The sequence below is a fragment of the Homo sapiens genome, chromosome 11, assembly GCF_000001405.40.
Source record: "Homo sapiens chromosome 11, GRCh38.p14 Primary Assembly".
Classification (NCBI taxonomy): domain Eukaryota; kingdom Metazoa; phylum Chordata; class Mammalia; order Primates; family Hominidae; genus Homo; species Homo sapiens.
This window is the reverse complement of record NC_000011.10, coordinates 115,499,820-115,510,938: the sequence shown is the minus strand read 5'-3', so window position 1 is coordinate 115,510,938 and position 11,119 is coordinate 115,499,820. Positions and strand designations below refer to the sequence as shown.

The 11,119-nt window shown below is 46.3% G+C and overlaps 1 protein-coding gene across 6 annotated transcripts in view, besides 1 other annotated feature; it reads left to right on the top strand.

Moving 5' to 3' along the window:
* Nucleotides 6,339-6,498: a silencer, noted in NCBI's record as "silent region_3918". NCBI's record gives its function as "represses an Ori minimal core promoter by ATAC-STARR-seq in GM12878 lymphoblastoid cells {active_cell/tissue: GM12878}" and the evidence as "EXISTENCE:reporter gene assay evidence [ECO:0000049][PMID:35858748]".
* CADM1 (cell adhesion molecule 1) overlaps nt 6,524-11,119 on the top strand; it is a 335,180-nt gene continuing 330,584 nt past the window's right edge. For all 6 annotated transcript variants that reach the window (NM_001098517.2, XM_005271494.4, NM_001301045.2 and 3 more), the window contains exon 1: nt 6,524-6,668. In NM_001098517.2, the coding sequence (NP_001091987.1) occupies nt 6,545-6,668 (124 nt within the window). In that variant the 5' untranslated portion in view covers nt 6,524-6,544. The remainder of the gene's footprint in view (nt 6,669-11,119) is intronic.

The window sequence follows — 11,119 nt, the reverse complement described above, 5'->3', positions numbered from 1 at the left end:
ACCATTGTCATCTTTTAGCAGCATGAGTGATACAATCTCATATTCATAATATGGCTATTTTATATTTGCAGCTTTATGAAAATCTATAGATATCAATATCTGTTTTTTTAATGGATCTTGCTGAAATCCTGCTGCCTGGGAAGTTGTGCGGTACTGCTATGGAATTATCACAAAGCCTCATCTGACAATTATGATATCATATCAGGAATATATTACTTCTAAAGTATGGAAGAAAACTTTTACAGTATCATAACCAATCACATTTTAGTTTGGAAATAAAAACTAAGGTCTATATGTGATAATTAGTTGAGTTACCTCAGTTGCCACAATCCCTCTATCCCACCCAAGGCTGTCTGTCAGTGTCAATGAAATTGAATGTCAAATTGAAAAACTCTAAAGCTATTTCTTCCATATTAGAAAATCACTAGCAAACATATCTTCCTGCCCTACTGGGAGGGTAAGCAAAATTAGCACATATCCCTCTCCTTGTTTTGTCAAACTTTAATCAAACTGTTTATGTAGACTGTGAGGTGATCAAATACTAGACCTTAGCATAAGAAGATCTGATCTCTAATGCTAACCTTTGATAATCTTTGTGAAATATATTCATCAGACTTCTCTGTGAGCAGTTGGCATGGTTAATCTTTGCATCTTCCCTCTTTGGCTTCCTTCCTCTTTTCATTCTTTTCCTATCCCCATGTCCCTCCTTCTCAAGCTCCGTCCACTCCTTAAATAATTGGTGTTCATCATAGTGGTACCCCTAGCTTATTTTGTTTAAAGTCCTTCAATATATTCTATCTGGGTGAAACTCTCCTCCCCTCCTTCAAGTCCATGACTTCAATTTCTACCTACATGCTCTTGACTCCCAGCTAAGTTGTCTGGCTGAATATTTCAAAGGCATCTCAAAGCCTCCTTGCCCCAAGTTAAAATTATCTTCTTTCCAGCACCCATCCCCCAAACAAACAACAAACGATCAAACCAACCTTTCCCATGTGCCCATACCTGTCTTGGATGAATGACACCAACATCTACTCCAATGCTGCAAGTACAATTTTTTTTTTTTTTTGAGACAGTCTCACTGTGTTGCCCAGGCTGCTAGGCTGGAGTGCAGTGGTATGATCTTGGCTCACTGCAACCTCTGCTTCCCAGGTATCAAGCAAGTCTCAATTCTCGTGCCTCAGCCTCCCAAATAGATGGGATTACAGGCACGTGTCACCATGCCCGGATAATTTTTGCATTTTCAGTAGAGATGGGTTTCACCATGCTGGCCAGGCTGGTCTCAAACTCCTGCCCTCAAATGATCCACTGGCCTCAGCCTCCCAAAGTGCTGGGATTACAGGTGTGAGCTACTGCACCCAGACCAATGGGTTCTAATTACCTATAAATATTGAAACTTTTTAGCAGGTTAATCAAGACATTCTCTAGTCCCTGTGTATCTTTTCCAGCTTCCTTTCATGCCACTCATCCTCTGACAATCTGCCATCCGGCCATTCTATTTGTAATTTCTCAAATATACATGATGCTGTCCCAAGCTTTTGGGCCTTGTAAATGACTTCCCCTCTCGTCACACCTCCCCCCTGCCCCAATAATATCCCTCTCTAACTTGTGGACTCTTACTTAAATTCTAAGACTTGGCTCAAGAATTTCTCCTGTGTGAAAATGTTCTGAGACACACACATATTCATACTTGCCTCCGGAGTAGGTGCCTCCTTTTTGTGTTCACATAGAGCTGTGTGCACATATTGTAAAAACATTTATTACATATGATAGTTGTGGTGCACTTTGCCTCCCCTAACTATACTCTGAGTTCCTTGGCAGTAGCTACAGTTTTTCATTTGCCTTTGTATTCCCAAAATGTAACGGTGACTGCTCAGTGGAAGTACACCACAATGTTTTTTCTTTTACTGAATACGTATTTGGATCAGCCACATATATCTGGATATATTCCTAGATATTTGACTGGAAAAAACGATGACTTGAGTCCCAATGGAAAATTCCCTTCCATGGGAATTGGGGCTGCTCCTTGATCTGGTTCATGTGTGGTTTTTCTGCAACCTGCTTCAGTACTTTCCTTCAAATTGGTATTTGACTTTTGATATTCAAGAGTGTACAGTCAACTCTCTGACACTAGAAGAATAAACCTTTGGGTAAACTGTTTACACATTTAGAAATATGTATTTAGCTGGCTTCATATTTCATAAAGATTCATAGACTGATTGATACCCCTAAAGATGAGCTTCTTAATCTTAATCAAAGTATATAAGAGCTACTAAATGAGACCAATAGTCTATCTAGTCCAATATTCTAATATATTGCTAACTTACTTGAATGTATGGAATGCTTTTCTATCAAAAGCTGACATTTATGATACTTTTAATGCACCTTTTGAAAACGGCAGCTGAGGCTTAGTGATTGCTTTAGTCTGCTCAGGAGGATATAAGAAAATACTGTAGACTGGGTGGCTTAAAAAACAGAAATTTATTTTTGTGCTCTTCTGGGGGCTGGAAGGCACCATTGGGTTCTGATGAGGGCCCTCTTCCTGGCTTGCACAGGGCTGCCTTCTTGCTGTGTGATCACCTGGCCTTTCCTTGGTGCATGCTCACGGCAAGACAGAACTCTGGTATCTCTTGCTCTTCTTATAAGGACTTTGATCCCAGTATGGAGGCCCACCTTCATAATCTCATCTAAATCTAATTACCTCCCAAAGATCCCACTCCTAAACACCATCACATGGGGGGAGTTTAAGCTTCAACATATGAATTTTGGGGAGACACAAAACATTTAGTCCGTAATAGAGATTAAATCACTTTTCTATAGGTACTTAAATAATCCACCTGCGGGGCAAATGCTGACTCCAAATACTGTTTTCTTTTCCCTAATCATTTGTCTTTGTTGCTTTTTATACCTAGGTACTCAAATAATTAGTCCTTTACAAAGCGAGATGCTGCTAGTTCTCATTGATTGTCTCTGATGTATCCTCAAAACATGAATCATCTTTTAATGATCATTTTTCATATATGTTTATCCATGTTTCTTAACTGTTTTAGTGAAAGCAAACAATATAAGGTCTCTCTCTCTCTTGCTCTCACTCTTGCTCTTTAAAGTTTCTCACAACAACAAAAGGAAAAAAAGAAAAGGAAAACCTGGGCTCTTGGTGCTTCTGGCAATTATATTCAAACACAAGAAGCACCCAGATTGTAATTCTGATAAGTATTTCAGTTCTTTCTTGAAAAATTAAATTCACAAAACAATTGATTATCAGTTATAAATGGCAAAAACACCATCTGGTTTTCAAAATTGGTTAAATCCATGTAGCAAAGGGGAAAATTTTGGAACTTGTAGTTGGCGAGGAGTTCTAGTCCATGAAGCAGAAAATGACGAGCTTTACTATGAGAAAGCCAGAGTAGTCATAACTTGTACTTAGCGGCTGCGGGAATTTGATGCGTTCTTCACATGTTCCATATGTTAAATTGCTTGGCGAGATCTTCAGTGTGAAGGAGCTGGGGGTAGGAAAGGCGTGTGGCTAGTGGATAGACTAGAAACAGCTTAATCCTAAATTCTCTGCTCTGCTTCTTGCATGTAGACCCAGTCTAAATGTGCCCCAGGACTCAGTTTCTTTACCTGGGGAATTGTACGTGCAAGTTCCTTAACCTTATGGCACAGGGGACATTTTGGTGGAAATTTCTAAAGCTATTTGCATTCCTCTAGTGAGGTAAATCATACGACATTAGCATTTCCTACAGAAATGTCCCATGTTGTTCTTTGCCAACTGGAAATTTGAGTAGGTGTTCATTTGATGTGCCAAGAGAATGAAGGGAGATGAAAACACCCTACATCTTCCAATGTCCCCATACTGTGTTCCGAGTGTGGGAGGACTGGGGCCTGGCTAGATTCTCCTGGAGATTCAGCTTCATGAGGAATGTTTTTCCTTAGGAGTATACTGCAATTCTGTTAGTTAAAAAAAAAAATGTTTCTGGGTTGCTGGCATATTTTCATCTTATGTTAAAAATGTAGCTATCCTTTGCTTATTATTCATGCATTGTAATGTGAAATTTATTCATTCACTTTACGGATATTTAGAAAGGCACAGTGGTTAATTGCATAGGCTCTTTCTGCAAGTTAGAGACTGTAATCTTAGGGCAGTTACTTAATCTTTCTAATCATGTTTAAAAAATATAAAATGAAAGATAATAGTATGTACCTTGGGGATTGTTTCAAGTATTAAATGAGATTTTGCATGTAGAATACTTAAGAATTCAGTGAATGCAAGAGTAGTAATAATAGTAACGGCAGATAATAATGTTACTATGTGCCAGGCTCTGTGTCAGGATTCTTGCCATATAGGACCTGCCTTTATAGTTTACATATCACTTTCAGCATACATATGGCCTTACTTTTTTTTTTTTGAGACGGAGTTTCACTCTTGTCGCCCAGGCTGGAGTGCAATGATGCGATCTCAGCTCACTGCAACCTCCGCCTCCTGGGTTCAAGTGATCCTCCTGCCTGAGCCTCCTGAGTAGCTGGGATTACAGGTGTGTGTCATCACGCCTGGCTAATTTTTGTATTTTTATTAGAGACGGAGTTTCGCCGTGTTGGCCAGGTTGATCTCGAACTCCTGACCTCAGGTGATCCATCTGCCTCAACCTCCCAAAGTGCTGGGATTACAGGCATCAGTCAGCGTGCCCGGCTGGCCTTAACTTTTTTATTCCAATTTTGGTGGAACTTTGCTCTCTATTTGGTCCGACCCAGGTACCTCACTGCCAGAGGTAGTAAGAACGGGTAGGACTTTGCAGACTGGGCATTATCCTGGCACCCACGTGGCAATGGTTTCCTGTCTCCTGTAGTGCTGTTCTCCTGTTGGAGCTTTCCCCACTTCTGAAGGACTGCCTGCAGTTCATGCATCGGGGCCTGTAATTACAGAGCAGAATATCCAGGGCTGTGAAGACCGGGCAGTCTCGAAATTAGTTTATGCATAATGGATAATAGGAGGCTGTTTTTAAGTGTAACTCATTTGGTGGGTTGGCAGATCATGACTTCCTTTTTGATATGTATTATTTATTTATTTTATAGCAAGATGAGGACAGAAGGCTGGGGAAGTCATTTGGCGCAGCTCTTCTAGACTATAGCTCAGACTTAGCAATTTACATTCAGTAATCTCTTGGTCATTTAGCCACAGATAATTTGTCATGGTTTGTTTTAGCTGTTGTGATATTGATATTTATTATGCAAATTGTATTTCCTACATCTTATTGTTCTGCATTCTATGAATACTTAAATTATTATAAACCTTTACACTTAATATGGCTCGTCCTTCAATTTGATGCTTGAGCAACAGAGGGTCAGAGCGCACACGATCTTCTAGAGGGGAAGAAAATAAGTAATTAAAAAGCAGACAAACAAGAGAGCCGGCTGCCTGGCTGAAAAGAAAGCAAAGAGAATTTCGGGGAGGGAGAGTGAGTCCGGAGATGCAAGTCGCTTTAGCAGGAGAGGCTCTCCCAGAGACAGGGGAAGCTCGGAGCACCTGTTGGTCCCCAGCTTCCTTAGGAAGGGCTGGGGGCGCAGAGGAGGAGTGAGAGGGTTTGAGCCCCGAAGGAGGAACACGGCAGACCCTGCCTTCACCACACTCCCTCTCCCCAACTCCCACCACCCCCGCTCTTCACCTGAAGCCTTGACTAATTTTTTCCGTTGTTGTGTAATCTTAAATATCTAATATTACAAATATTTCACACATATATTCAACACACACCTATATATTAAAACCAGGGAGGAGACCCTCGACAAGCGGAGGAGCCTGAGCATACCCTCCTCGATCTACCTTTCCCGAGATTCTGCCGCAAAAAGACCGACTGGAAAATCTCAGAACCCGACTCTACGGCTGCCTTCTCCAACTATCCCCGAGTCTACCGCTAGGCTGTTGAGCGGGCTCTCCCGCTCCGCCGGACGTGCAAAGCACGCATGCACTTCTCCCAGATTGTTTTGTCAATCCGGGGACCTGCCTTCTTACTCTCCACTCCCGCACAGCCCCCGTTCCCAAAGATCTATTCCTTCGGTGCAAGGTGAGTGACGGAAATTTGCAACGTCTGGTTCGCTAGGCCAGATGCACTCGGTGTGCGGGACAGAGGACCCTCTTAAGGGAGATTCTCCAGTCGTCGGTCTGATACAGCGATTGCTATAAACATTCCTAATAAAGGTGTACAAGAAGCTAGACCCGCCCCCTGGAGCCCGAGTCCTTGCACGCCAGGCGCCCGGGAGAACACTTTTTCCTTGATCCGGGGAAAGCAAAACCCGAATTTTAACATAAACATATTTGCATACGCCCCTCCCCTTGGCCCCGCCCCTAGGTGGCGCGGGCGCGCCGCCGAACGCCAGCGCCAGGGGGCGGGGTGGGGGAGGGAGCGAGGCCCTCCGAGAGCCGGGTTGGGCTCGCGGCGCTGTGATTGGTCTGCCCGGACTCCGCCTCCAGCGCATGTCATTAGCATCTCATTAGCTGTCCGCTCGGGCTCCGGAGGCAGCCAACGCCGCCAGTCTGAGGCAGGTGCCCGACATGGCGAGTGTAGTGCTGCCGAGCGGATCCCAGTGTGCGGCGGCAGCGGCGGCGGCGGCGCCTCCCGGGCTCCGGCTCCGGCTTCTGCTGTTGCTCTTCTCCGCCGCGGCACTGATCCCCACAGGTAGGTGTGGGCACCGACCGGTTGGCCCCTAAATCTCCGAAGGCACCCCAGTAGCCTTGGCCACAGAGGGGGGAAACGTTTCCATGACAACCTCCCCCCACTTCCTACATCCGAAGCGGAGGGAGTGTGGAGAGGAAACTCAGGGCTGAGAGGGAAGGGGCTGAGGGCATCTGTGAGCCCCTTCTCCCCTGCCCGGCTAAGTGTGAATGAGAGTCCCCAGGGATGGCTGCACCCACACCTTCTCTCCCCGGCTTGGCGCGGGGTGCAGAGTGGAGTGAGAATGGGGGGCCCGGGGGCTGTAAAGCATGGGGGAAGGGGATGGTTCAAAGACAACCTCAACCCTTCCGGACCCTTCTAAACTCGCCGTTCTCCCCGTAACTTGCAGGTCCTCCCACCTCCCAGGGCTGTCCATTCGCCCCCACCTCTCCAGAGGGCCCCCCCAGTTCTCCATCCCCGAAGCCTCCTGGTGGCTGACTCCCAGCCGCCCGCGGCGTGATTTCTCCCCGGTCCCCAGGACATCCCCAGACTTGTCTGATCTCCCCTGCCCCTTCCCCCAACGCGCTCTGCCTTTCTCCCCTGTCCCCAAACTGCACGCCTCTCGTGTTTCCCTCCGGCCGTTCGCAGCCCTCCGCCCCCTCGGCTCTGCTGCGGGTCTTTTTGGCCCGGCTCCAGGCGGGGAAAGTTCCCCGGCCCGGCCCCGCGGGGGGGGCGGCCGCTGTCGCCGCCTCTGCGGGAAGGCGCCGGGAGCCCGCAGCCCGCCCGCCCCACAGCGTCCTCTGCCACGAGTGGGGACACGGGATTTCCCGGCTGCCCGTTCTTTCGGCGGCCCGAGGGTGGCGGAGGGGGCGTCGCGGCCTCTGCGGCCAGGCGGGCACCCTGCGGGCCTCCGCGCGCTCCCTGCGTGAAGAGCAGTCTTGGGAATTTGCCCAGGGGCGGCTCTGCACGCCCGGTGCCTTCCCTGAAGACACCGAGCACTCGGCTGGAGCCCGATGTGTGGCTGCCCGTGTGCCGGGCGCGTTGGCGCGGTCGGGAAAGAAGAGGGCAGTGTTTGCTTTTGCTAACAAAAGGGAGCCGGAGCTCTTCCTCAGCGGAGAGGCCGGCTGTGCTGCACCCAGCCTCCCTTCCCGCCACCTCGCCGCGCTTGGCAGCCGCGCGGCGTCCTCTGGCCCCTGCTGCAGGCTCCAGGCGGGCGCCGGGACCGAGTGGCACGGGGCCGCGGGGTGCGAGCGGCGATGCAGGAGGGGATGCAGCAGGGCTCTGAGCCTGCAAAGCCCCTCCTTGCAGCTCCAGAGCTGCAGGACCCGGGAGCAACAAGTGGCGGAGGACGCCGAGAGCTCAGCCCCCACCTGCGGAGCCCCAGGCCCGGGCGGGCACAGCGTTGGGGCCACGGTGCTGCTTCAGGGGCGCCTCTCCGCTTGGGCTGTGCCTTTTGTTTACACGCTAGAGGACACACAGTTATGTAAACACCGCAGGAGACACGCTGTAGGAGACGGGGGATGTGTGGGGGTGCTAGCTTGAGATTTGGGGGACGCCGGGTTGGCTGCTTGCCCCCAAAATAGGCTTGCAAAGGAGCTCGGCTTGGGAAACCTATTGGGGGGCGTCTGGCAGCAGCGTCAATTCCAGCGCTGAGGGTTTTTTTCCTCCATGCCACTGTCTCCGGATGTTGTTTATGTGTTTTTCCTCTGTGAATTCTTAATTTATGAGTTACGAGATAATTGGGTTCAGCCGATGCCGGTGTGGTTACAACTTCATTTCAGGTGATGCCTCTGACTGGATGGGTTCAATAAAATGTTCCTGAAAGAGATCCCTCGTGCTGCTGCATTGTAAAAAGCGCCAGTGTCAGTTAAACGTGAGCGTGAGTAAAGGCTCGGTAACTGGCGCATAATAGAGGCAACAATAGACTTGTATTGGCTGCAAAAAAAAAAAAAAAAAAAAAAAAAAAAGCCGGGGGGCGGTGGAAAGCTGTGGTCGGGGATATTGCTTTTTGACTAAAAATGGGAGTCGTGCAATGACGCTTGGCAGCAGAAGTAGGATTAGATTATGCCTCCCCTGTCAAGACTGCTCATTGAAGGCACCGGGTAGTAGCAACGGTACTATATTTGTAACTATCTCGCGGTGAGAAGTTGCCTTCCCTGCGAGGGATATATGCTGACTTAGGAGCGGTCTGGAACTCAACCGTGCATGTCAAAGCTACATGAAAATTCTGTTGCCAGTTACCATGGAAGCAGCTTCTTGCTCTTGTGTACATCCCTGTTTGTATGCTGGTTATCAGATTGTGTTCAAATTAGAAAGTAATTGGGTATGATTTGTAGTGAGGAGATGAGATGACTTTCTTAATTTTTTTCTCTTAATGCATATATATATATTTCGTGGTGAGTTTGAGAGGAGGTCTTGGCTCATTCCGGGGTCCCATACCCCAGGGGTAAATTTCAGGTGGGCACCAAGGGACTTTTCCTCCTCAGTTCTGTTTAAGCTTTCTCAGAGGCCTCCAGTTCCCACTCCCAGGGTTAAAGAAACCTGTTGGTGCATCTGACTTCATTAGGCTTGTTTCGTTTACATCCTTGCTGGGAAAGCGAATTAGGACCATCGTGCGTGGGTCCTGGTTCTGTTTTCTCCTGTAACTGAAGCCATCCATCCCCCGCAGAAAATCTCCTCTCATTTCTCCTGTGATGTTTGGATGAAATGGATGTTAATGAAATGCAGTAAAAATGGGTTTGCTTAAGCTCACTCCACAGTGTTAATCACGCCTGTTATACGTTCAAGGTGCATGCATGATGTTGTTTACGATCCCGAGTGAACCAGTAGCTGATCACCCCCCTCTTATCATTTTCAGGATTAGAGAAGATGGCTGGTGGATGGGGGATTTATGGTGGTGATGGGAAGGAGGGGGGCTGACTTTTGCTTGCTTTGGCCTGTTGGGGCTTGCAAACCGGGGATAGAGACTTTACAAAAGTGCCGCCCTGTTATTGTTGCCTTTCCCTGCATCAGATTGAATAGCCGCAGTAGGGACTTGCACTTGTCTGTGATAGATTTGATAAAATATCCCTCATTAATGCCACTTTATATTTACAGTGTGTCACTGGAGACGCACAAGGCTTCATTTAGTGACTTGTGTGACGAGACAAGCTTGCATTATTTGCCTGGGACGTTTTGGAGGAACAAGAGACCCATTGAGCAATCTTTTGAAATGAACAAATACGAAAAAGGGGGGGAATAAAAGAGCAGGCAGTTCTCTGGAACAAAGAGCTTTATTCATATGGATGTTGTACATGCTTTATCCAGTTTTCCCCAATGGCCCTCCTGGTAAAGGGGAGTGGGACAGGGAAGACGCCAACAGGCAGGACACTTTCGTTTCCTCTCTCACTTCCTGACTTCATATTCTTATCGGAGTTGGTCCCCGGCTCACTGCCTGCTCATCTCTCTCCACACTCTCTAAAATCCCAGAAGGTAACGGATTCCTGGGTCTCCACAGAGAGATTGTGAAATCCTTTCTTCCAGCTCTAAATTTCAACAGAAGACAATGCTAGCTACCTGTTGAGGTTGATGTTGTTGGAGGATATATTGGTTGAAGGGAAAGAGATGTCACTTTTCTATGACATGTGTCAAGAAGTGGTTGATAGTGAATGTCAGATTGGTAAGATGTCTTGCAATTATAACATTAGCCTTATTATTTATTTGGAAAGAAATGCTGTGAAAACCAGCATCCAAAAATTGTATTCTTATTGATGGTGCTCTTGGAGTTTTTAGTGACTTTTTCCCACACCTGGTACATTTTAGTCTCATACATAAGTGAATTTTTATTATTCCTTGGCCTATATTGCTAAATGATTTTTAGGCTTTAAAAATTGATAAGATTGCTATGAATATAAACTGTCTCATTCTCTTGGGATTTCTGTACGTGACATTTTAATGCCTAATTGGTCACTTAGAATTTACATTTTAGAAATGATTTTGTGTGTGTGTGTGTGTCTGTTTTTAGCAAAAGGTGCATTTTAATGTGGGGATTCTCTTAAATTGGGCCAAACTAATCAATGCTATAATTTGAATGGAAATTTACCAGCAGATGAAGAAAATTCAAAATAAATCCAAAGGATTCAAATGCTGTACGTTTTTCTTGGGAAGAATAGTTTTGACCATTATGCTGGGCATTTTTAACTGAAAATCCAGCACAGAAAGGAGAAATCACACAGCGACATCTGTTGCAGAATTGAAAATTTGCTGCTTTGAGTTGGAAGCAATTAGTCCCATATAAGCACCTAATGGTATCAGTGTGTGTGTGTTTGTGTGTATGTATAAGTAGTGATACAAATACATACATATACATACTTATATATACATATATATGCACAGGATACAAAAACTTGCCCACATACAATATTCATATTCACATTAAAAATTATGTAATAGAAAATGTAACATTTTGGGACTAAAGCTGTTTTTAAAAATATTAC